Source organism: Homo sapiens, chromosome 19 (genome assembly GCF_000001405.40).
Source record: "Homo sapiens chromosome 19, GRCh38.p14 Primary Assembly".
In the NCBI taxonomy this organism is placed as follows: Eukaryota; Metazoa; Chordata; class Mammalia; order Primates; family Hominidae; genus Homo; species Homo sapiens.
In genome coordinates this window covers 12,270,658-12,296,770 of record NC_000019.10, presented here as the reverse complement: position 1 = coordinate 12,296,770, position 26,113 = coordinate 12,270,658, and the positions used below count along the sequence as shown (strand labels likewise).

General features: G+C 43.7%; 1 protein-coding gene and 1 pseudogene across 12 annotated transcripts in view, besides 5 other annotated features; one reads left to right on the top strand and one right to left on the bottom strand.

Moving 5' to 3' along the window:
* Nucleotides 1,504-1,553: an enhancer, noted in NCBI's record as "active region_14048". NCBI's record gives its function as "activates an Ori minimal core promoter by ATAC-STARR-seq in GM12878 lymphoblastoid cells {active_cell/tissue: GM12878}" and the evidence as "EXISTENCE:reporter gene assay evidence [ECO:0000049][PMID:35858748]".
* ZNF44 (zinc finger protein 44) overlaps nt 1,888-26,113 on the top strand; it is a 70,198-nt gene continuing 45,972 nt past the window's right edge. The window contains exons 1-6 of one of the 12 annotated variants that reach the window (NM_001353549.2): nt 1,888-2,079; nt 3,396-3,539; nt 5,521-5,551; nt 20,689-20,815; nt 21,738-21,798; nt 22,708-24,963. In NM_001353549.2, the coding sequence (NP_001340478.1) occupies nt 20,782-20,815; nt 21,738-21,798; nt 22,708-24,364 (1,752 nt within the window). In that variant the 5' untranslated portion in view covers nt 1,888-2,079; nt 3,396-3,539; nt 5,521-5,551; nt 20,689-20,781 and the 3' untranslated portion in view covers nt 24,365-24,963. Of the gene's footprint in view, nt 2,080-2,158; nt 2,476-3,395; nt 3,540-5,520; nt 5,552-12,116; nt 20,624-20,688; nt 20,816-21,737; nt 21,802-22,705; nt 24,964-26,113 lie in introns of those variants that run through there. The other 11 variants (XM_047438922.1, NM_001353550.2, XM_011528062.4 and 8 more) reach the window with 11 other exon arrangements.
* Nucleotides 2,104-2,333: a silencer, noted in NCBI's record as "silent region_10146". NCBI's record gives its function as "represses an Ori minimal core promoter by ATAC-STARR-seq in GM12878 lymphoblastoid cells {active_cell/tissue: GM12878}" and the evidence as "EXISTENCE:reporter gene assay evidence [ECO:0000049][PMID:35858748]".
* Nucleotides 7,230-7,430: a silencer, noted in NCBI's record as "peak3363 fragment used in MPRA reporter construct". NCBI's record gives its function as "represses an SCP1 promoter by STARR-seq MPRAs in K562 erythroleukemia cells {active_cell/tissue: K562}" and the evidence as "EXISTENCE:reporter gene assay evidence [ECO:0000049][PMID:32103011]".
* Nucleotides 7,230-7,498: a biological region, named in NCBI's record as "MPRA-validated peak3363 silencer".
* Nucleotides 7,409-7,498: an enhancer, noted in NCBI's record as "active region_14047". NCBI's record gives its function as "activates an Ori minimal core promoter by ATAC-STARR-seq in GM12878 lymphoblastoid cells {active_cell/tissue: GM12878}" and the evidence as "EXISTENCE:reporter gene assay evidence [ECO:0000049][PMID:35858748]".
* On the bottom strand, nt 11,549-12,457 carry RPS2P53 (ribosomal protein S2 pseudogene 53; annotated as a pseudogene).

Below are 26,113 nucleotides of genomic sequence, written 5' to 3'. Positions count from 1 at the left end.
TCAACTGCCTTTGTAAAACGAATGAATGGCCATCAGGCTGAGGGATGAAAGGAATCGGAATGCTGCTAAAGTGTAGACATAGATTGCCAGCTATTTCTGCAGATAACACCACTATTGTAGATTAGCATTTGTAGACGTATTTTCAGTTTTTGTTTGTTTGTTTGTTTTTTTTTTGCATGTCTGACACCACCTGCACCTGCCAACTCTGCTCCTGTGGCCCCAACCAGAAGTGATTCAGCATAACAGGATAGGTTTTTTTTTTTTTTGTCTTTTTTTTGTTTTTTTTTGAGACGGAGTTTCGCTCTTGTTGCCCAGGCTGGAGTGCAAAGGCACGATCTCGGCTTGGCGCGATCTCAGCTCACCGCAACCTCCACCTCCCGGGTTCAAGTGATTCTCCCGCCTTAGCCTCCCAGGTAGCTGGGATTACAGACATGTGCCACCACGCCCAGCTAATTTTGTATTTTTAGTAGAGACGAGCTTTCTCCATGTTGGTCAGGCTGGTCTCAAACTCCCGACCTCAGGTGATCCGCCCGCCTGGGCCTCCCAAAGTTCTGGGATTACAGGTGTGAGCCACCGGGCCCGGCCTCTTTTTTTCTTTTTTAAATATGTAGCAGTACAAGCCGCAGACAAGAACCCCTCAGACACCGAGTTGTGGAAGGAAAGGGCTTTATTCAGCTGGGCTGGGAGCATCGGCGGACTCACGTCTCCAAAAACCGAGCTCCCCGAGTGAGCAATTCTTGTCCCTTTTAAGGGCTTACAACTAGGAGTCCGCGTGAGAGGGTCGTGATTGATGGAGCAAACAGTGGGTACGTGACTGGGGGCTGCATGCACCGGTAACCAGAACTGAACAGAACAGGACAGGGATTTTCACAGTGCTTTTCCATACAATGTCTGGAATCATAGATAACACAGTTAGGTCAGAGGTTGATTTTTAACTACCCAGCCCAGGGCACAAGCCGGGTTATCTGCCTGTGGATTTCATTTCTGCCTTTTAGTTTTTACTTCTTCTTTGGAGGCAGAAATTGGGCATAAGACAATATGAGGGGTGGTCTCCTCCCTTATAGTATAGAGACGGAGTTTCACTCTATGTCCAGGCTGGTCTTGAACTACTGGCCTCAAGCGATCCTCCCACCTAGGCCTCCCAAAGTATTGGGATTACAGCGGTGAGCCACCACGCACTGCCAAGAGGACAGATTCCATCCCCAGTGATTTCATCCCCACCCCAACCAGTCAGTAGCAAGCCTAGCTACCTCCACCCTTTCTCCCAAACTGCCCTTGAAAAACCCCTACCAGAGGACCTTGGATGAGAATAATTTGAGTAGTAACTCCGTCTCTCACGTATCGTAGCTGGCCTAGTGTTTATTAAACTTTTTTTTTAACTGCAATACCGTGGTCTTTATTTGCGTAGCGCGCAGAAAGAACCCATCCAGCGCTTATAGTGGAAGAAAGGCTTGACCTTGCAGGCGACAGCCTCATCCCAAATTCCTGGTCCCTGGAGGACATCAGCACCACCCCCCCACCCACCCACCCCCTGTCCCCCGCTGCTACAGTGTGGCCTGTGTGGCCTCGGCTGCCCTCCTGCTCTGAGGCCAAGGGATGGCTCCACTGGACAGTGAGTCTGGGATTCCTTGCACACAATTGTTCAGGAGGAAGAAGCAAAAAGGGCCCACTGCGTACAGGTAGGAAATTCCGCTTTAAGGCAAACGTTTCCCGGGACGGGTCGGGTCACAACGCAGGGAGGAAGCCCGCCCTGCCAGGGGCCGGGTCTGGAACCTGTTCATCCGGCTGCACTCAGCACTGTGAGATCGCTTCTTCTGTCACTCAGTGCCCAGGAGGCGGGACCTGGAGGGCTACCCAATCAAAGTCGTGGGCGGGTTCCTGAGAATTGTCAATCAGGCGCGAGGCAGAGAGGAGGGTGTGACGTTCCAGGAGCTAGTGGCCTCTTCACCCTGGTGACCTCTGTTCCGTATTCTGTCACTGAGAGACGCCCTGGGACATCTGTGGTGGCTTTTGTCGCGCTGGGACCTACCCTGACTACGGGAGTTGGGAGGACCCGGGACACCGCACAGCCGGGAAATGGTGAGTGTGCGGGGCCCGGCGTCCTGAGGCAGGGCGAAGGGCTGGTCGGAACCAGTCGGAACCGGCTGTGGCGGGACCCGGGCCTCGCCGCAGCGTCTTTGGGGTCTGGGACCTGAGCGCCCCCTGCGCACCTCGGTCCTCGGTCCGTTTGGCCGCAGGGTGGGGCTGGGCCGGCAGCCGGGACCCCGGGCGTCCTGTCCCGTCCCTGAGCTGCGACTGCGGCCCCGGCCCCGGCGCCCCTCTCTGGGCAGCTCCGCGCCCTCAGCCCCGCTTCTCCCCAGATTGTGCGGCGGAACCAGTACAGGTTCGCAGCCCAAGTCACTGCACCCGGACGCCGAGGGCTGCAGCAGAAACGGTTTAATAGGAGAGGACACCCTAGATCCGCCTCCGTGAGAGGTTTGAGGATGGGGTGTTTAGGGGTCTGGACGGGGGTGGTTGGGATGTGGGGTCGCTGGTTGGTGGAGAAGTGAGGGGTGAATCTTGGGACTGGAGGTGAAGAAACCGCATTCTGCTGCTGAGTGGGCTTCCTTGTGGGGTCTTCAGCCTGCTTGGCGCCAGCCTTTCCGCTGGAATTCAAGATCTGAGAAAGAACTTAGACGACTCTTGAGCAACTCTCAGAGATCTTATCCCCAGGCCAATGGGGAAGCCGGCGGTCAGCGTCTGCTGTGACCTGACTCTCAGGGAGGCGGCTTCCTGTGAAGCAGCGGGGCTGAGGGCACCTGGTTAATATCTAACTGCAATCTCGCCTCCAGCCTGGCTCGCAGTTCCTGTGAGCCCGGTGAGGAGGCTGCACGGTGACGGTGGGAGGGTCACTAGGCACAAACCAGACTCGTGTGTGGGGTTTGTGTGTGGGAGGAGCTGTGGTCTCTGTGCTCTTCAGTCCTTTCTTTCCAAGGGCGACCATTTCTCCTCCGAGGCTTTCAAAGATATTGGCATCAGGGTCTTTGAGACCTGTCCCTTCATCCTAACTCCTCTTGGGGCTAACAGTAAATCTTTTGGTTTCCAGAGCCTTCCATATGCTAACTTCACTCCTCAATTCCCAGTAACGTTATGAACCCTTTGTCAGCAAGACGATATTTCAAATAGACACAGAATTTTGTCGTTTGTTTTCAGATAGCAATGTATGGCTCTTTTTAAACAGATTTATTTTGTTTTCCTTAACATTTCACATGTGAGGAAGAAGAGAATAACCACCTGACACTGCTGTAAAAAAAACCAAACCTTTGTGCCTCTTTTATCTCCCCTAGGCACAGATGCCTTCTCAGTATGTCCTTTACAGGGTGATGTGACCTCAGCCCACCCTGTATCTTTTCCAGGCCCTGTGTTATGGAACTTTCTGGGGCTACCCTAAGATGCTGGAAGCTGCCAATCTCATGGAGGGCCTAGTGGATATCGGCCCTTGGGTCACTCTTCCCAGAGGACAGCCTGAGGTGTTGGAGTGGGGCCTCCCAAAGGATCAGGTGGATGCACTGGGGTGGGAGGAATCTTCTGGTATATCATTCCTGTAAAAAGCTAACCCCTGGGCTGGGCGCGGTGGCTCACGCCTGTAATCCCAGCACTTTGGGAAGCCGAGGCGGGCGGATCACCTGAGGTCAGGGGTTCAAGACCACCCTGGCCAACATGGTGAAACCCCATCTCTACTGAAAATACAAAAATTAGCCGGGCATGGTGGCAGGTGCCTGTAATCCCAGCTACATGGGAGGCTGAGGCAGGAGAATCACTTGAACCTGGGAGGTGGAGGTTGCAGTGAGCCGAAATCACAATCATGCCATTGCACTCCAGCCTGGGCGACAAGAGGGAAACTCTGTCTCAAAAAAAAAAAAAAAAAAAAAAAAACCTAACCTCTGGGACATTGACATTTTTTTCCCCAAGCCTAGTTTCCATTCCTTGGTGACGCATGGCTTATCAGAAAATTGGATGGTGTTATTCAGGGGACAAGACAAATGATTTCTGCCTTCTGGACTCTCTCCGACTGTGAAGCTAGAAAACTGTTTCTAAAAACTGAAAAACCCACCCAATGAGGTTTTGCATGAGCCTGAAAAAGACATAAGGCAGTGTCTCCTAGGAATGTGGTTGCTGAGCACTTCAATGAGCACCGTGGGGCTGGCGGATGTGCCAGGTGATAGAACGACCTGACCTGACGGTTGAGTGAGACTTGTCTGTGTTCCAGTCAGTTCTGCCCCACCCTGGGTTAGTTACCCTGAAAAGATTTGTTCAGTTATTTCCAATTTAATTTTTTATTAACTGTAAAGGGCATCCTATCATTAGAGATTATAGAGAAGATAAAGTGTTTCTAAAGAGGCCAGAAAGAGTTGGAATTCAGAAAACAAATTATATATATGTAGTTTTCTATTCCTTTTTTTTATTATTTTTATTTTTTATAAGACAGGGTCTCCCTCTGTTGCCCAGGCTGGAGTGTAGTGGCACCATCATGGCTCACTGCAGCTTAGGCAGCCTAGACTGCCTGGGCTCAGCCTCCGGAGTAGCTGGGAATGCCCACCATGCCCTACTAATTTTTGAGTATTTTGTAGTGATGGGGTTTCCTCATGTTGCCAGGCTGGTCTTGAAGTCCCGGGCTCAAGTGATCCTCCTGCCTTGGCCTCCCAAAGTGCTGGGATTACAGGCATGAGCCACTGGACCCAGGCCCTATTCCATTTTTTAAAAACTTTTTTTCTTTTCTTTTCTTTTTTTTTTTTTTCTGAGATGGAGTTTCACTATATTGCCCAGGCTGGAGTGCAATGGTACTATCTTGGTTCACTGCAACCTCTGCCTCCCAGGTTCAAGCAATTCTCCTTCCTCAGCCTCCCGAATAGCTGGGATTACAGGAACATGCCACCATGCCTGGCTAATTTTGTATTTTTAAGTAGAGACAGGGTTTCACCTTGCTGGCCAGGCTGGTCTTGAACTCCTGACCTCAGGTGATCCTCCCGCCTCGGCCAATGAAAGTTCTGGGATTACAGGTGTGAGCCACTGCACGCAGCCTTTTTCTTTTTTTTTTGAGACATGGTCTCCCTCTATCACCCAGGAGTGCTGTGGTACGATCTCAGCTTACTGCAACCTCTGCCTCCAGGGCTCAAGAGATCCTTCCACCTCAGCATCCCAAGTAGCTGCGACTACAGGCGTGCGCCACCACACCTGGCTAATTTTTGTATTTTTGGTAGAGATGGGGTTTCACCGTGTCGCCCAGGCTGGAGCATTTTTAAAAAACTTTTATTTACTTTTATTACCCCAGAGACCATGTAATAGGTTTCTCAGGTCTTTTATTGGATGATTTCAAATGGAATTTCAGGGCTTAGCAGTGTAAATACTACCAAGGGAAAAATTTGGGAAAACTCTTCCATTTTGGCTGCAGAAAAATGAATATATTTTCACAAGAATGTGTGGTAGGTATTTGGTTGAATTATAAAGCTTTATCAAAACTTTAGTTTCTCTTCTTTTTAGGCTGGAGAACTTGGGACAGTGGATAAGTCTGGTCTGTTCCTGTTATCTGGACTTGGCAGATTAATGCAACATTCTGTGGGACTTTGCAATAGCTAAAGAACTTAAATATCCTTTGTTTACTAAAGGCTTCATTATTATGGAAGTAGTAACTGATGTTTATTATCTGAGATGGATAGATACTTGTGCTTTTCTTGTTGAGCTATAAAATAGAAGTGACTTACAATTTCCTTCCCTCCTGTAAACACTGAATTTGAGTGATTTTGATAGATTCATCACACATGGAGTTTTGTTTGTTTGTTTTATGTTTTAAATCCACGTAAGGCATGAAAGGGTAAGCAAATGGCCTTGACTGGGGTGGAGAGGCTTGAGGCCAGTGACTCCAAGTGGAGGCCAATTTTGAGCCTGCAAAGGGAGGTCATTGTGGGCCCAGTTTAGTTGGTTCTTCCTGGGGAGCCTCCCCTGCAGGTGTCCCAGCCTAATCACTCCAGCAATGGGAGGAGCTTTTTTTAAAATTTATTTTTATTTTTATTTATTTATTTATTTATTTATTTGAGGTAGAGTCTCACTCTGTTGCCCAGGCTGGAGTGAAATGCTGTGATCTCAGCTCACTGCAACCTCTGCCTTCCGGGTTCAAGCGATTCTCCTGCCTCAGCCTCTTCAGTAGCTGGGATTACAGGCGTGTGCCACCATGCCCAGCTAATTTTTGTATTTTTAGTAGCGATGGGGTTTCACCATGTTGGTCAGGCTGGTCTCAACTCCTGACCTTGTGATCCACCGGCCTTGGCCTCCCAAAGTGCTGGGATTACAGGCGTGAACCACTGTGCCTGGCCTGGGAGGAGCCTTTTTTTTTTTTTTGTTTAAGACGGAGTTTCACTCTTGTTGCCCAGGCTGGAGTGCAACTGCAACGGCATGATCTTGGCTCACCACAACCTCTGCCTCCCAGTTTCAAGTGATTCTCCTGCCTCAGCCTCCTGAGTAGCTGGGATTATAGGCATGTGCCACCATGCCCAGCTAATTTTGTATTTTTAGTAGAGATGGGGTTTCTCCATGTTGGTCAGGCTGGTCTTGAACTCCCGACCTCAGGTGATCTGCCCGCCTTGGCCTCCCAAAGTGCTGGGATTACAGGCGTGAGCCACCACGCCCAGCCAAAGAGCCTTTTATACTAAGAGAAGCTACAGAGCACTGGAAATCTGGGGATCCACAGGCAGAGGCAGATGGGGTGATGCCATGTCTGAGGTTGTGTTTGTTATTGTAGGGCTGTCACTAGACAGTCTTCAGGTAAGATAAATCTGGATTTAGCTAAGAAATGAGTTTATTCTAGGCCAGGCACGGTGGCTCACGCCGGTAATCCCACCACTTTGGGAGGTCGAGGCAGGCGGATTGCAAGGTCCGGAGATCGTGACCATCCTGGCTAACATGGTGAAACCCCATCTCTACTGAAAATACAAAAAATTAGCCAGGCATGCTGGCGGGTGCTACTCGGGAGGCTGAGGCAGGAGAATGGTGTGAACTGGGGAGGCGGAGCTTGCAGTGAGCCGAGATCATGCCACTGCACTTCAGCCTGGGCGACAGAACAAGACTCCATCTCAAAAAAAAAAAAAAAAAAAGAATGAGTTTATTCTAAAACAGCGCTACATAAGGGAGAAGAGCACTAAGTATAAGATCTGAAAGCGTCTTAAAGCTTAGGTGGAAAGTTGTTTTCAAGGTGAAGAGCAACCAACATTACAAAGGAAATGAGAGGGAGAGGGCAGGATGGAGGGTGAAAATCAGATTCTAGATCACAGAGTGTTTTACCCTGACTCAAGCCTGTTCATGGGATGAGTCATGAAGGAGGGGTTGTGTTTTGGCTTAGGCTGAGGGTGTGTCAAAAATCAGTGGCCTAGAAGAAAGAGAGAAACTTAAATAGTTTCCTTTCTTTTCTGTTTTTTTGTTTGTTTGTTTTTTTGAGACACAATTTCACTCTTGCTCAGACTAGAGTGCAGTGGGGCCATCACAGCTCACTGCAGCCTTGACCTCCCCAGGCTGAGGGGATTGTCCCATCTCAGCCTTCAGGGTAGCTGAGACTACAGGTATACAACCCCATGCCCAGCTAATATTTTTGTATTTTTTGTAGAGACAGGGTTTCACCATGTTGCCCAGGCTGGTCTTGAACTCCTGGGCTCAAGAGATCCACCCACTTCAGCCTCCCAAAGTGCTGGAATTAGAGACGTGAGCCATCAGGCCTGGCCACAAGTTTCCTTTGGAAGCATTTTGTTCAGAGTAATCAGTAGAGGCAAAACTGTTCAGCTAGTTATTTATAAGACAAAGAATGGGAATTTGGAGGGCCTTGTTACAGGTTAAAAAGGCGGGAGCCAGAATTGATGTCAGTGAAGGATGTTTCTTTGCACTGGGCTACTTGTCCAGAACAGAAAGAACTGGGCATGGTGGTGGGGGTCAGGTGATTTCATATATATATATATATATATATATATATATACATTTTTTTTTTTTTTTGAGACGGAGTCTCACTCTTTGTCCCAGGCTGGAGTACAATGGTGTGATCTTGGCTCACTGCAACCTCCGCCTCCCTCCAACCTCGCCTCCTAGGTTCAAGCTATTCTCCTGCCTCAGCCTCCTGAGTAGCTGGGATTACTGGCGTGTGCAACTATGCCTGGCTAATTTTTCTATTTTTAGTAGAGATGGGGTTTCATCATGTTGGCCAGGCTGGTCTCAAACTTCTGACCTCATTATTTGCCTACCTCAGCCTCCCAAAGTGCTGGGATTATAGGTGTGAGCCACTGTGCCTGGCCTCTTAAATCATGTTTATTACCAGGATTACAGGGCTTTTGTAAAATTGAACTTTATCAGCTGCTTGGTTTTGTATTCAGTGAGTTGGTTTAATTAGAGTGAAATTGCACAAATTAAAATGTCTTGGAGGGCTGACATATGTCTTCCATTTAGGTATTCTTGACATATACTTTATAACAAACTGATAACCTTAAGCAACTTGTTTAACTGAGTTCTTCAACTTGTTGTAGCAAATTATTAAATCTGATAGTAGAGTTGTTGGTTTTATACACATTTGGTTAAAAGGGTGGTCCCTAGGGCTTGCATTTGGCATCTGCAGTAGGGTCCCTGTTGTGGAACTGAGCCCTCAATTTGTGGGGTCTGTGGAAATGTTAAGTGGTGTCAGCATTGAATTATTGAACACCAGTTTTTCTTGGAGAATTGGCTCGTGTTCAGCAAATGCTACATATTTGCTGTCAGAAGTAATGTTAGATAAAATACACCATGGGTCAGAACCATAACTCTGAATTTGTCATTGTTACTCATTATAGGTTCAGTATGTATTCACCCATAAGCATAATTTTGCCTCTTCAGTTTCCAGTTAGTTAATACTACCATTAACATACCATCCATATAATGCTGAAAAGCCATTCCTACTACAGGGTGTCTACCCAAAGGAGTGGAAATCATTACATCAAAAAGTTCCCTGCACTCATGTGTTTATTGCAGACTATTCACAATAGCAAACATACAAAATTAGCCTAAGTGTCCATCAACAGAAGATTGAATAATGAAAATGTGGTATATTCACACAGTGGAATACTATTCAGACATTAAAAATAATGAAATTGTGTCTTTTGCAACAATATGGATGGAATGGGAGGCCATGATCTTAAGTGAAACAACTCAGACACAGAAAGACAAATACTGCCTGTTCTCATTTATAAGTGGTAGTTAAAGAATGTGTACAGGGACAGGCACGGTGTCTCACGCTTGTAATCCCAGCACTTTGGGAGGCTGAGGCAGGTGGATCACGAGGTCAGGAGATCAAGACCATCCTGGCTAATGCGGTGAAACCCCATCTCTACTAAAAATACAAAAAATTAGCCAGGCGTGGTGGCACATGCCTGTAGTCCCAGCTACTCGGGAGGCTGAGGCAGGAGAATCCCTTGAACCCAGGAGGCGGAGGCTGCAGTGGGTGACAGAGCGAGATTCCGTCTCAAGGAAAAAAAAAGAAGAATGTGTATATATGTGGACAGTGAAGACTCATGGGGATGAGGGAGGTTATTTGGTGGATAATGGGGGTTGCTCCAGGGATGGATGCACTGAAAGGCCTGACTTTACAAGGCAATATATCAATGTAGTAAAATTGCACTGGTACTCCATGAATATATATATATAATTTATACATATATGTGTATATATATATATATTATACGTGTGTGTGTGTGTGTATATATATATATAAAAGGAATGCACATTTTAGGGTATTACCCAAGGCTACTGAATTAGTAATTCTTGGAATGGGGCCCAATGATTTTTTTTTTATTTTTTATTTTTGAGACAGAGTCTTACTCTATTGCCCAGGCTGGAGTGCAGTGGTGCAATCTTGGCTCACTGCAACCTCTGCCTCAGCCTCCCGAGTAGCTGGGACTACAGGTGTGCACCACCACGCCTGGCTAATTTTTGTATTTTTAGTAGAGATGGAGTTTCACCATGTTGGCCAGGCTGGTCTCGAACTCCTGACCTCAAGAGATCCACCTGCCTCAGCCTCCCAAAGTGCTGGGATTACAGATGTGAGCCACTGCAACCAGCCCCAATGATCTGTTTTCTTTCTTTCTTTTTTTTGAGACCAAGTCTCGCTCTTTCACCCAGGCTGGAGTGCAGTAGCACAATCTCAGCTCACTGCAACCTACCTCTGCCTCCCAGGTTCAAGCAATTTTCTGCCTCAGCCTCCCGAGCAGCTAGGACTACAGGCACCCGCCACCACGCCCGGCTAATTTTTGTATTTTTAGTAGAGACGGGGTTTCATCATCTTGGCCATGCTGGTCTCGAACTCCTGACTTTGTGATCCACCCACCTCGGTCTCCCAAAGTGCTGGGATTACAGGCATGAGCCACCGCGCCCGGCCTCCAATGGCCTGTTTTTTAACAAGCCCTTCAGATGATTCTCATGCATGAGAACTAGTTCATCAGAGCAACCTGTTAAAATATAATGCAAAAAGATATCACTAAAATGTAAATATAATTAGTAACTAAATTGGAACACTAGAGAATATTGATTTGATTCAGAGACATCAAGAAAGGATGAACGGGGGAAAAACACAAAAATTGTGCTGAAAAGATTTTTGTTTTCTTTATTTGCCTCAATCTGTTTGACACATGCTAAAATCTGAGGCTATGGGTCATGCAGTTTACTCACACATTGCAGTGCTCATAGGACTTGACTTTTTTTTGAGTTTTTTTTGAGATGGAGTCTCGCTCTGTCACCCAGGCTAGAGTGCAGTGGCGTGATCTCGGCTCACTGCAAGCTCTGACCCCCGGGTTCACGCCATTCTCCTGCCTCAGCCTCCTGAGTAGCTGGGACTACAGGCGCCCGCCACCACGCCTGGCTAATTTTTTTGTATTTTTAGTAGAGATGGGGTTTCATTGTGTTCTCCAGGATGGTCTCGATCTCCTGACCTCGTGATCCGCCAGCCTCGGCCTCCCAAAGTGTTAGGATTACAGGCGTGAGCCACCGCGCCTGGCCAGGACTTGACTTTTAAGTTAATTTTTTGATGTTGTTGACAATGTTATTTTTGGTTTTGTCTCTACATGCTAACAGTTCATGAATTTTTCAACACATGGGGGAACATTGCTGGGTTATAGATTATAGACAAACTTCAGTTTACTAGGAAATCATAATAGCATGTGTGGATTAACTGTCTGACCAGGCCGGGTGCTGTGGCTCACGCCTGTTGTCCCAGCACTTTGGGAAGCCTTGGTGGGTGGATCACCTGAGGTCAGGAGTTTGAGATTAGCCTGGCCAACATGGTGAAACACCATTTCTACTAAAAGCACAAAATATCCGGACGTGGTGGCGGGCGCCTGTAATCCCAGCTACTCGGGAGGCTGAGCCAGGAGAATTGCTTGGACCCGGGAGGTGGAGGTTGCAGTGAGCCGAGATCGCGTCTTTGCACTCCAGCCTGGGCAACAAGAGTGAAAATCTGTCTCAAAAAACAAACAAACAAACAATGCATACATGTCTGTTTATACATTTTTTTCAGGCTTAATTTACTTTATTTTTCTTGTATGAAAGCCCTATGTTGTAGCCACAGCTGGAGCCTGGGTCCTCTGCACAGAGACTCTGGTGTGGGTCTTAACGAGGTGGTCAGTGAATTCCTGATAGGGAGACTTGGTGAATACAGTCTCCTTCCAGAGGTCAGGGGTTAGGTAGCTGTAGGTCTTAGAGATGACATCAAAGGTGGCCTTGGCGAAGTTGCCCAGGATGGCAGTGCAGCCCCGGGCTGAGGTGTATCAGTCACTGATACCAGCCATCATGAGCAGCTTCTTGGGCACAGGCGCTGAGACGATGCCAGTGTCCCTGGGTGCGGGGATGAGGCGCACCAGCACAGAGCCGCAGTGGCCTGTCACCTTGCAAGGGACGGTGTGGGGCTTGCCGATCTTGTTCCCCCAGTAGCCTCTGCGCACGAGGACAGTGGAGAGCTTGGCCAGGATGATGGCCCCGCGGATGGCAGTGGCTGCCTCCTTGGAGCACTTAACTCCCAGACGGACATGGCCATTGTAGTCCCCGATGGCAACAAACGCCTTGAACCTGGTGCACTGGCCGGCACGGGTCTGCTTCTGCACTGGTGTAATCAAAACCTCGTCCTTGAGAGAGGCCCCCAGGAACAAGTCAATGATCTCAGATTCCTTGATGGGCAGGGAGAAGAGATAGATCTCCTCCAGGGACTAGATCTTCATGTCCTTGACCAGGCAGCCCAGCTTGGTAACGGGCATCCACTTCTTATCCTCGGCCTTGCCTCTCAGAGCTCCGCGGCCCCGGCCCCGGATGCCACTGCCGAAATCTCCGCGGAAGCCACTGCGGTTCCCCATCCCAGGGTCCCCAGGGCCTCTGGACCCCCGCGCTGCACCTGCGTCATCAGCCATTTGGTGTTTTCTTGGAGAAGAAGCTATACCTTTTAATATTTATCTTTTAGTTATCTCCATGTGATTATGTATTATCTCCATATGATTATATATTGTGTTTTTACTGGATTAGCATTCATGTTGAACATACCGCCTTTGTGGGCTTTCATCTGTGAAATAATTCTCAGTCATTTAATTCATTTGCATAGTAAATGCAAATGTTTGCTTTGTTTCTCTCTTTTTGTTTTAGGCATACTTTATACACGAATCCTTTTTTACATGGAGGGATTGGTAATATTTCCTTTCAGATGGTGGTTTATCTTTTAAATTTATTCTACTTAGATGAACTCTTCCTAAATTTTTTATTTTTTTAGATAATGTCCAGCTCTGTCACCCAGGCTGGACTGCAGTGGCATAATCAGCTCACTGCAGCCTCAAACTCCTGGGCTCCCAAGTAGCTGGGACTATAGGCATGTGCCACCACACTTGGCTAATTTTTTAATTTTGTGTAGCCAGAGGGTCTGCCATGTTGCCGGGCTGGTTTCAAATTCCTGGCCTCAAGAGTTCCTCTTGCCTTGGCCTCCCACAGTACTGGGATTATAGATGTGAGTCACTATGCCTGCTTCTTCTTAATGTAATTAGAGTTCAATTTACCAGACTTCTCCTTTGGAAGCTACTTTATTTTCTTATATAAGAAGACTCTTGTTAAATAAGAAAAACATTTTTTCTGGCTGGGCGTGGTGGCTTATGCCTGTAATCCCAGCACTTTGGGAGGCCGAGGAGGGCGGATCATGAGGTCAGAAGATCATGACCATCCTGGCTAATACGGTGAAACCCCGTCTCTACTAAAAATACAAAAAAATTAGCCAGGCGTGGTGGTGGATGCCTGTAATCCCAGCTACTCAGGAGGCTGAGGCAGGAGAATGGCATGAACTCGGGAGGCGGAGCTTGCAGTGAGCCAAGATCACGCCACTGCACTCAAGTCTGGGTAGACAGTGCGAGACTCTGTCTCAAAAAGAAAAAAAAATTTCTGTAATTTCTAAAAGTGTGCTGCTTTTGTCTTTCATAGGTGTTGTATATTCTTCTAATTTAATCTTTAGGTCTGTCTCTTGAAACTGGCTATAAACTTTATCTCTGCTCTGGTGTGTCTCCAGGGATTTGGTTGGGGATGGTTACATTGCGCCTTTCATGGGATACTTTTGTTTACCAAAAATAAGGCCATTGAGGCAGATACAATTTGATAAAGTTTTATTGTAAGCCAAATTTGAGGATCAACTTGAGAAGACACACCAACAAATTTGGATGTGTTCCAAAATTGATTACAAGTTGGATGCCTTTATGAGAAAGTTTAGGAGAAGCTGGAGGACTATTCATACCGGAATTGTCATTTTCCTTGAAGGGTACAATATAGACGTTACAATCATTGCCTATAGATGACAGCTGACAGGCTAAAATGTTCTAAGTGGAAGACAATCAGCAAAACATGATTCAGAAATAAATCAGTGTCTTTTTTGATGTTAGTAGATAACGTTAATCATATCAACAGTTTGAAGAACTCACAATAAGATTTGAGGGACTCATGATAAGATCCTTTACTCACAGACAGAATGTAAGCCATTTAATTAGAAGACTTCTCGCCAGGCGTGGTATCTCATGCCTGTAATCCCAGCACTTTGGGAGGCCTAGGTGGGCGGATCACCTCAGGTCAGAAATTCGAGACCAGCCTGACCAACATGGCGAAATCCTGTCTCTACTAAAAAATACAAAAATTAGCCGGGCATGGTAGCGGACACCTATAATCCCAGCTGCTCGAGAGGCTGAGGCAGGAGAATTGTTTGAACCTGGGAGGCGGAGGTTGCAGTGAGCTGAGATCGTGCTATTGCACTCCAGCCTGGGTGACAGAGCAAGACTCCGTCTCAAAAAAAAAAAAAAAAAAGAAGACTTCTCCAAGTGGGTTGATTTGGAAACCTGCCAAATGTGACCTGTAGGTTATCACTTCTTTATCTTGGCAGGGAGCTTAATGCCTATATGTGAGACCAGTGACCTGATTCCTGTAGACTTCAAAGCCTAATGTGTGTAGAGAAAGAGTCTACCTCTCTTAGTCACTTAGGACTGCTATACCAGATTGCCATACACTGCATGCCTTAGACAACAAACATTCATTTCTCAAAGGTGTAGAGGCTGAAAGTCCAATATCAAGCAGATGAGGCCTCTGGTAAGGGCCTGCTACCTGGTTTGAAGATGGCAGTCTAACCCTTATGTCCTCACATGGTGGAGATATGTCTGTAATGTCTGTCTAGTTTTGGTGTTAGGGCAATGTTGGCCTTATAAAATGGAATAGAAGGTGTTTCCTCTGCTTCTGTTTTCTGGAAGAGATTGTAGAGAATTGGTATCATTTCTTCCATAAACGCTTGCCAGAATTCAGCAGTGAAATCGTTCTGACCTGTTGCTTATTTTTTCTGGGACATTTATTATTTATTAATATCTTCAGTAGATACAGGCCTATTCATATTACTTAGGTCTCTTTTTGTGAGTTTTGGTAGATAGTGTCTTTCAAGGAATTGGTCCATTCTGTGTAATTTTATCAAATATGTGGGCACTTAGTTGTTCCTAATAGTTTTTTATGGTCATTTTACTGTCCATGGGAGTAGTAGTGATGGCTCCTCTTTTTTCTGAGTTAACTTGGCTATGGGCTTATGAATTTTAATGATGTTTCCAAAGAACCATCTGTTGGTTTGTTGATGTTTTCTACTGATTTCTTCATTGCTATTTCATTAATATCTCTTCTCATCGTTACTTTCCTCTGTTTGATTTACATTAATCTTGTCATTTTTCTCTAGTTTCCTAAAATGGAAGGTTAGGGTGTTGATTTTAAACCTTTACTTTCTAGGAAATGCATTTAATTCTTTAAATTTCCCTCAAAGCACTGCCTTTACTCCATTCCAAAGATTTTGCTAAGATATATCACTTTTCATCAACATTGCAATATTTACATTTTGCTTGACAATTCTCCTTGAAGTTTGTGTAGTTGAGAAGTTTGTGGCTTCAATCTCCACTTTGTTGAGGTTTTTCAACTATGCTTCTGTTACTAATTTTTACATTAATTCTAATATGATTTGATCGCATACTTTAAAAAATTTGTTCAAGTGTGTTTTATGGCTGAGAATATTGTTCATCTTGGTGAATATTTCATGTAGGCTTGAGAAGAATATGTATGCTGTTGTTGAATGAATGATTCTATAAATATGTTTCAATTAAATCCAGTTGATTGATAGTGCTGTTGAGTTCAGCTATATCATTAGTGATTTTCTGCAGAACTGATCTGTCAATTATTGATAGAGGTGAGTTGTTTTCCCTCAACTATAATCCTAGATTTGTGTATTTTGCCTTGTGGTTTTATATGTTTTTGCATTATGTATTTTGATGCTCTGTTTTATGGGCATAGATGTTAAGGATTATTATGTCGTGTAGGATTGACTTCTTGATCATTATGAAATCTCTCTATCCCTTGTAATTTTTAAAAAATCTAAAACCTGATTTGTCTGAATGTAATATAGGTCTTCCAAATTTCTTTTGATCAGGGCTAGAATGGCATGTATTTCTTCATACTTGTGTATTTAATGTATCTGTGTCTTTCTGTTTAAAATACTTTTTAAAAATATAGTTTGGGGCCTTGTTTTTTATTTCACTCTGCCAGTCCCTTTCTTTTTTACTGGTGAATATAGATAATACACATTTAAGTGGCAGTTGGCATAATTGGATTCAGATAAACATGTATATTATTGTTTTCTATTTGTTGTTCTTCTCTGTGTTTTTTAACTTCTCTTTTCTGCCCTTTTTCCTTTTAGCTGAGCATTCTATATGATTTTATTTTCTATATTATATATCTATATAGTCTACTTTTTCTTAGATTCTATTAGTGAGTTCCCCAGAGTTTGTAGTATAGCATTCACAACTAATGGGCCTTCAATTTCAAATAGTACTATACTGGCTTCAGGAATAGTGCTGGTATAATAGACAGTTCCGAAGTGTGATAGACTGTTCTTCCTCCCATCACATATAACATTACTTTCATTCATTAGTTCAACTGGGAGCTATAAACTACTGAATACATTGTTGATATTATTATTTTTTCTTTTGAGACAGAATCTCACTCTGTTTCCCAGGCTGGAGTGCAATGGCATGATCTCGGCTCACTGCAACCTCTGCCTCCTGGGTTCAAGCAATTGTCCTGCCTCAGCCTCCCTAGTAGCTGGGATTACAGCTGTGCACCACCACGCCCAGCTAATTTGATATTATTATTTTGAATAAACCTATATCTATTAGATCAGATAGGTATAAGAAGAGTAAAGAATTTTTTGTGCCTTCATTTAATTGTTTCCTAACACTCTTCATATATATGTGTGTGTATACACACACACACACACACACACACAATCTGAATTTCTAACCCATATCATTTTTTTCTTTCTGATGAACTTCTTTTTTTTTTTAACTCAGACCAGGTAATTTCAATTGTTTTACCTTCATTTTAGTTTTTTTTTTCCACTGGTTGCTCACATCTGTTGAATACCTTTAGTGATGTTTTCATTTAAGTTGTTGTATCTTGCAGCTGCAGAAATTCTATATGGCTCAATTTTTAACATATTTTGGTATTATTTTATCCCTACATCAATTTTCTGGTTTTCTCTTAGTTCTTTGTTTATTATTGTCTTTACTAAGTTAAATATATTTAAGACAGTTGCTTTACTGTTTTTATTCAGTAAATCCAGTGTCTGAGGTTTCTCAGATTTATCTCAAATTGTTTCCATTAATGAGTCGTATTTTCATGTTTCTCTGTTTTATTTATTTCTCTGGGGTTTTTTTGGGGGTGGGGGTATTGAAAAGGAGACATTTGAATGTTATAACTGGGTAACTCTGGAAATCAGATTTTTGCCCCTTAATTGTTTGGTATTCTTGCTTGAAGGCTGAAATTATTCATTTCTTTTTCTTTTTTTTAAATAGAGACAGAATCTCACTATGTTGCCCAGGCTGGTCTCAAACTCCTGGCCTCAAGTGGTCCTCCTCCCTCAGCCTCCCAAAGTTCTGGTATTACAGGCTTCAGCCACTGCACCTGGCCTATTCATTTGTTTAGTAACATTTCCAAATTAGTTTGCAGAGACTGTATTTCCTACTGGGTATAAACACTGAAGTCTCTGTTCTTTAGCTTGTGATCATGCAGTGTTCTGACAGAGATTTCCTGACTTTAGCTTGTGTTCATCCAGCGTTCTGACAGAGATTTCCTGAATGTTAGAAGCTAAAAGTAAAAAAGAAGATGAAACAAACAAAAACCTGACCTCTTCCAGTCTTCATGGATGGCTCTCTGCTGGGGCATTCTTTGAGCACTTAGCCACAGTATTTACTACTGTAGCCTTCTCTTTCTGTTTAAATCTGGATGTTAGCCAGAGCTGAAAAACAGAATCCCCACCCATCTTTTATAAAAATATATTGTTTCCTGTGCCTGCGTGGGGCTTTCTCCATTCCCCAGTATATCTGGGTGCTTTCAAATATGCTTATTTGTAAAGAAAAATTATACCCTAGCCTTTTCTCCTGGGACTTAGATGGTCTAATATATGTCTTTTTTTTTTTTCCTTGAAATAGTGTCACTCTTTCACTCAGACTTGAGTGCAGTGGCACAATCGTGGTTCACTGCAGCCTCAACCTCCTAGGCTCAAGCAATTCTCCTACTTTCCTGAGTAGCTGGGACTACAGGCATGCGCCACCATACCCACCTAATTTTGTTTATTTTTTGTAGAGATGAGGTCTCCCCACATTGCCCAGGCTGGTCTTGAACTCCTTGCCTTTAAGCAATCTGACCCCCTTGGTGCCGAGACCAGCTCAGTCGTGGAGAGCCTAACCCAGCGGCACTAGAGGAATTAAAGACACACACACACAGAAATTTAGAGTGTGGAGTGGGAAATCAGGGGGCTGACAGCCTTCAGAGCTGAGAGCCACAAACAGAGTTTTACCCACATATTTATTGACAGTAAGCCAGTGATAAGCGTTGTTTCTATAGATTATAGACTAACTAAAAGCCTTCCTTACGGGAAACAAAGGGAAGGGCTCTGGCTAGTTATCTGCAGCAGGAACTTGTCCTTAAGGCACAGATGGCCCATGCTATTGTTTGTGGTTCAGGAACGCCTTAAGCAGTTTTCCACCCTGGGTGGGCCAGGTGTTCCTTGCCCTCATTCCGGTAAACCAACAACCTTCAGCATGTGCGTCATAGCCATCACGAGCATGTCACAGTGCTGCAGAGATTTTGTTTATGGCTAGATTTGGGGGCCTGTTCCCAACACCTTGGCCTCCCAAAGTACTGGGATTACAGGTGTGAGCCACCACACCTGGCCTTCTAATGTATGTCTTAGTCATCTTGTGTTGTCCTAGGTGGTTGCACACTTTTTGTGTATTTTACAACATTTTAAAGTAGTTCCTGCCCAGTTTGACTCTGATTGGATTCTGTTGTAGATGAAATAGAAAAGAGAGCCTTGTTTCAGACCTTCGGTTAGTCCCCAGACTGATTCAAAAATACAAAGGCAATAATGTGGAAACAAAATGTGATCTGTACACTCTGTGGTGATCAGAGTTCTACACTGGGAACTCTGCTGTCTTCAGGACTGGCAATGAGATGGGCAGAGATGGGGCCAAAGAAAAAACAATACAAGGCTTTTCTATCATTTTTCACTTTCCTGTTTATGTATCTTTTTCTCTCTGTTAATAGTATGGGATGTGAAAAATTACAGTTTTAAATCTTCTGTTTGTTTTTGTAAAGCTGTCTACTTTCTTGATGAGAAGGTTTTTTTTAAGCATCTTTAGACATTTATGACTTCTATAAAAATTGGTTTATGTAATGTTATTGATTATTAAATGTCTGCTGTTGAGATTTATGGAATATAATTGATATTCATGAAAGCTGACACTGAATTCTGTCTAAGAACATTTGCAGTCTGTCCTCTTCTTTTCTTTCTCCTTCGACATTACCCAGTAGAAAGTTACAATTTTTTCTATTTAGTTGGTAAAATCTCTTTTATTAGTCTTTTGTCATACTTAACTACATTTGATCTACAGGGAACCAGTCACCAGCTTCCAAATATTCTCTCTGTGTAATCACGTAGGATAGGCTAAATCCCCCAAGTAAGACATTGAAAAAACAACAACAACAAAAATATGAAATATCATCTACCAGAGTTGCACATTAGGGACCCTGTGCCTAGAGTGTTTCTTTGTGTATGTCTTAGTCTATAAGACTGTTTTTTTGTTACTTACAACAGGATACCAGAACTGGGGTAATCTATAAGAAATGATATTTATTTTTTGCAGTTCTGAAAGCTGGGAAGATCAAGTAAGGTCAAAGTGGGCATCTGGTGGGAATCTTCTTGCTGATGGGGACTCTGTAGAGTCCCTGGGTGGTACAGGGCATTACATGATGAGGGGGCTGAGTGTCTAGCTGAAGTATCTTCCTCTTCTCATAAGGACACCAGAACCTCATCTGTGATAACCAGTTTATTTATTAAGCCATTCATACATGAGTGGATTAATCCATCCATGTGTTCCAAACCCTCAAGACCCACTCACCTCTTAAACCACTACCTTTGATTACTTCCACATTGGAGATTCAGTTTCAGCCTGCATTTTGGAGGGGAAGACATTCAAACCTAGCAGTGGCTGATTGGGTACACTTCCTCTGCTGAGGATGTAATACAATTCCAAACTCTCAGAGGGAAGTTAGGAGTTAAGCAAATACCATAATTTTTACACAAATAGTTTAGGCACACTCCACCCCCTTTATTAGTTATGCTTACGGGGCCCTCCCCTAAATACATTGTCTAGACACCACGAAAGGTTCAACATTGTGAACAAGCAGTTGTAAGGATATGCCGTCTCAGGACTGCTAATTGTAACTCTCTTTTGCACAGTAGGTGGTAGGACTTTGTCATGACAAGGACTACAGACCCACTGTAGAAACAGACATTAGGAGTAATCCAGGCAATAAGATTCACTTGCATAATTCACCAATAAGAGATATGTTCCTACTCAACTGTTATTTTAGCAAGCCCAATTCCAGCATCAGAATTCCAGCATCAGACAGTGAGTGCAGACACAGAATAAGAGTGGATTTACCACGTCATTGAATAAATGCTTGGAAACCACAGCATCATGGGAAGTTTATGAAGGTGAGTATAGGTTCTCAGTACTGTGAGTTTCAACCTTCCTTTTCTGGACATATGGGATGTTTCAGGACTCAGTGGCCTTTGAGGATGTGGCTGTGAACTTCACCCATGAGGAGTGGGCTTTGCTGGGTCCATCACAGAAGAATCTCTACAGAGATGTGATGCGAGAAACCATTAGGAACCTGAACTGTATAGGTATGGATGACATCATGTCTTCATTTGGTCAATTAGAGACATTTGTTTTGTGGTCATCAATGCTGTTCAGTGATTTGAAATATGGAAAAGGGATACAGTTCATTCCTGAACAACACAGGGTGAAGTGCCAGGCCCCAACCTGTTGTATGTCCTCATATAATCTTTTGTCTGCCACAGCTTAACCTACTTTTGACCAGCAGCCTTATCAGTCATATAAACAAGTGACGAGCACATATATGTCATATGTATTGCATACTGTATTCTCAGAATAAAGTAAGTTAGAGAAAGTAAATTTTTTTTCTTTTTTTTTGAGATGGAGTCTTGCTCTGTCGCCCAGGCTGGAGTGCAGTGGCTCCATCTTGGCTCACTACAAGCTCCGCCTCCCGGGTTCACACCATTCTTGCCTCAGCCTCCTGAGTAGCTGGGACTACAGGCGCCCGCCACCATGCCCAGCTAATTTTTTGTATTTTTAGTAGAGACAGGGTTTCAACATGTTAGCCAGGATGGTCTCGATCTCCTGACCTTGTGATCTGCCCACCTCGGCCTCCCAAAGTGCTGGGATTACAGGCATGAGCCACTATGCCCGGCCTAGAGAAAGTAAATATTAATAAGAAAATCTTAAGGAAGAAAAACTATATTTACTCTGCATTAAGTTGAAATGGATCATCATGAAGGTTTTCATCCTCATCTTCACATTGAGTAGGCTAACTAAGAAGAGGGGTTGATATTGCTGTCTCAGGGGTAGCAGAGACTGAAGAACATTTATATATAAATGGACTTGTGCAGTTCAAACCTGTGTTGTTCAGGAGTCAACTATAGTTCAATGAATGAATCATACATGATTGTAGTGTACATAAAATCTTAACAATTTTTGTATCATTTTGTAATAATTTATAGTGAATTTTCTGGATCTCTCTTTTAGGAATGAAATGGGAAAACCAGAACATTGATGATCAGCACCAAAATCTCAGGAGAAATCCAAGGTAATTTGTACTTATAAGAGACAGGTGATGTCCTTGCAGTGTTTCTGAGAATGACAAGAACTTTTAAAAAGAAGCAAAGATTATGAACAAGCCCAGCTTAAATTTATTTATTCTTAGAAAAATTTCTCTATAAAAATATATTATTAAATGTGACATAAATATATTATTAAATGTGACATAGCTATTCAGTGTTTGCAAAGTAGTTCCCATGGAAACAATATTAAGATTTCCCATATGAGGCTGGGTGTGGTAGCTCATGCCCGCAATCCCAGCACTTTGGGAGGCTGAGACAGGAGGATCACTTGAGCCTGGGAGTTTGAGGCTGCAGTGATCTGTGATGGCACTGGTGCACTCTAACCTAAGTGACAGAGCAAGACCCTGTCTTAAAAAAAAAAAAAAGGCCAGGCGCAGTGGCTTATGCCTGTAATCCCAGCACTTTGGGAGGCCGAGGTGGGTGGATCCACGAGGTCAGGAGATCGAGACCAACCTGGCCAACATGGTGAAACCCCATCTCTACTAAAAATACACAAAAATTAGCTGGGTGTGGTGGTGCATGCCTGTAGTCCCAGCTACTTGGGAGGCTGAGGCAGGAGAATCACTTGAACCTGGGAGGCGGAGGTTGCAGCAAGCCGAGACAGCACCAGCTGCACTCCAGCCTGATGACAGAGGGAGACTCCATCTCAAAAAAAAAAAAAAAAAAAAAAAAGAATTAAGAATCCCCATGTGCATATCATTGTCTTGAAAATAGCTGGGATTGAGTTATCTTGCACAACATTCAGTCCATTCACATTGAAGCAGGACATGAAGCTTATAGCTTGCCTGATAATGTTAAAAATGTAAATCTAATACCTGTTGATAAATATAAATTCAATAATAAACCTTTAGTAATGTACTTTTCATTTTTTACAGGTGTGATGTGGTAGAGAGATTTGGTAAAAGTAAAGATGGTAGTCAGTGTGGAGAAACCTTAAGCCAGATTCGAAATAGTATTGTAAACAAGAACACTCCCGCCAGAGTAGATGCATGTGGAAGCAGTGTGAATGGAGAAGTCATAATGGGTCATTCATCCCTGAATTGCTACATCAGAGTTGATACTGGACACAAACACCGGGAGTGTCATGAATATGCAGAGAAGTCATATACACATAAGCAGTGTGGGAAAGGCTTAAGTTATCGCCACTCCTTTCAAACATGTGAAAGGCCTCACACTGGAAAGAAACCCTATGATTGTAAGGAATGTGGAAAAACCTTCAGTTCTCCTGGAAACCTTCGAAGACATATGGTAGTAAAAGGTGGAGATGGACCTTATAAATGTGAATTGTGTGGGAAAGCCTTTTTTTGGCCCAGTTTATTACGTATGCATGAAAGAACTCACACTGGAGAGAAACCATATGAATGTAAGCAGTGTTCTAAAGCCTTCCCTGTTTACAGTTCCTATCTAAGACATGAAAAAATACACACTGGGGAGAAACCGTATGAATGTAAGCAGTGTTCTAAAGCCTTCCCTGATTACAGTTCATATCTAAGACATGAAAGAACTCACACTGGAGAGAAACCCTACAAATGTAAACAATGTGGGAAAGCCTTCAGTGTTTCCGGTTCCCTTCGAGTACATGAAAGAATTCACACTGGAGAGAAACCCTATACATGTAAACAGTGTGGGAAAGCGTTTTGTCATCTTGGAAGCTTTCAAAGACACATGATAATGCACAGTGGAGATGGACCTCATAAATGTAAGATATGTGGGAAAGGCTTTGATTTTCCTGGTTCAGCACGAATTCATGAAGGAACTCACACTCTAGAGAAACCCTATGAATGTAAGCAATGTGGGAAATTGTTATCTCATCGCTCAAGCTTTCGAAGACACATGATGGCACACACTGGAGATGGCCCTCATAAATGCACAGTATGTGGGAAAGCCTTTGATTCTCCTAGTGTATTTCAAAGACATGAAAGGACTCACACTGGAGAGAAACCCTATGAATGCAAGCAATGTGGGAAAGCCTTCCGTACTTCCAGTTCCCTTCGAAAACATGAAACAACACACACTGGAGAGCAACCCTATAAATGTAAATGTGGAAAAGCTTTTAGTGATTTATTTTCCTTTCAAAGTCATGAAACAACACACAGTGAAGAGGAGCCTTATGAATGTAAGGAGTGTGGGAAAGCATTTAGTTCTTTTAAATACTTTTGTCGCCATGAAAGGACTCACAGTGAAGAAAAATCTTATGAGTGTCAAATTTGTGGCAAAGCCTTCAGTCGTTTCAGTTACTTAAAAACTCATGAAAGGACTCACACGGCAGAGAAGCCATATGAATGTAAGCAATGCAGGAAAGCATTCTTTTGGCCCTCTTTCCTTCTAAGACATGAAAGGACTCACACTGGAGAAAGACCCTATGAATGTAAACACTGTGGTAAAGCCTTCAGTCGTTCCAGTTTCTGTCGAGAACATGAAAGAACTCACACTGGAGAGAAGCCCTATGAATGTAAGGAATGTGGGAAAGCCTTCAGTTCTCTCAGTTCCTTTAATAGACATAAAAGGACACACTGGAAGGATATTCTATAAGTGTATGGAATGTGGGAAAGCATTCATTGGTTTTATCACATTCAGATACTTGAAAGAAATAAATCCTGTGAATGTAAACGTGGTAAAGCCTTAAGAAGTTTCCAGGCTGGGCGCAGCGGCTCACACCTGTAATCCCAGCACTTTGAGAGGCCGAGGAGGGCAGATCACGAGGCCAGGAGATCGAGACCAGCCTGGCTAACATGGGAAACCCTGTCTCTACTAAAAATACGGAAAAAAAAAAAAATAGCCAGGCATAGTTGCTCACACCTGTAGTCCTAGCTACTCAGGAGGCTGAGGCAGGAGAATCCCTTGAACCCGGGAGGTGGAGGTTGCAGTGAGCCGAGATTGCACTACTGCACTCCAGCTTGGGTGCTAGAGCGAGACTCCATCTCAAAAAAAAAAAAAAAAGTTTCCATTTCTTTCAAATAGAGTTGCTGCCTGCTATATGCAAGAAGATTGGTTCCAGTACACCCTGAGTATACCTAAATCCACAGATGCCAGCTCTTTTATAAAATGGAATATTCGCATGTACCTACCCACATTCTCCTGTATACTCTATAAATGTCTAGATTAATTAAAATATCTCATGCATTGTAAAAGCTGTGTACATAGTTGTATTGTTTAGGGAATCATAAGAAAAAAAATCTATATGTGTTCAGTACAGACCCAACCATTGCAGGCCTATCTACATCGTATATATCACCTATAATGTTACAGTTTCTTGTTTCAATACTCAGATTACTTTTGTCTAATGACCTGAAAGAATGTGTTAACACCAACCACAATTCTGGTTCTTCTCTCTTGATAACCCAAGTATTACGATGGTTATGACAATGATGATTGCTGTATGGTGCCTAATGTGATGTGTAGAGGTGACTAGATGTGTGGCATCATAGATAAACAGTGAGACCTCAGGCTAACTTGAATCTTGACAGGACATCAAGACCTTCATCTATGTTGGAAGACCCAGGTTCTGATTGAAGATGTTGACTCTTTGCAGGAGGCTAATACTAATGTCAGCATCTGTTCAGCTTGAGGGCTGAAGATGTTTGTGTTGAAGGGTATGTCTTCATATTTGCAGATATTTAGTTAGAAGCATTGTTTTAGGAAGCTAGTTCTTTTTCTTTGAATCCCTAAAAAAACCTTAGTGTTCATTAGCATATTTTCCCTTATATGACACAGAAGCTTTTTTCAATCAAAGGATGTTAGCTGAGGTTGATTATCTTTAACACTTGCAACTTGCAGAGGCTATAGATGCCCCAAGATCTGCTGCAAATTTTTCGCGTGTCCAAATCAATGGCACTGCTCCTCTTCTTAATCTTCTGCATCATCAGCAGCATCATCATCATCATCATCATCATCATCATCACTTGTAGAGGATTTCAGTATATCTTCAGTTTCCTTTCCACCAACTTTCTTTGCAACATTTAAGATATTCCTGACTGCTGTATCAGTCTTGGGGAAACCCCTGAAATCACTTACTCCCTCACTCCAATGGCTTCCAATATGCTTTGGGTGTCCTGGGCTTTAGGGCATCTACAGCCTCTGCAGTAAGCACAGTTGCATCTGCAATTGTGAAGCTCTTCCATAAGTACACTGTGGTACAGTCAGGGTTAGAATCAAGGCAACATAAATTGTATAAATATTGAGGTGGGGCTGGGCACACTTGTTCACACCTGTAATCCTAGCACTTTAGGAGGCTGAGGCAGATGGATCAACTTGAGGTCAAAAGTTTGATACCAGCCTGGT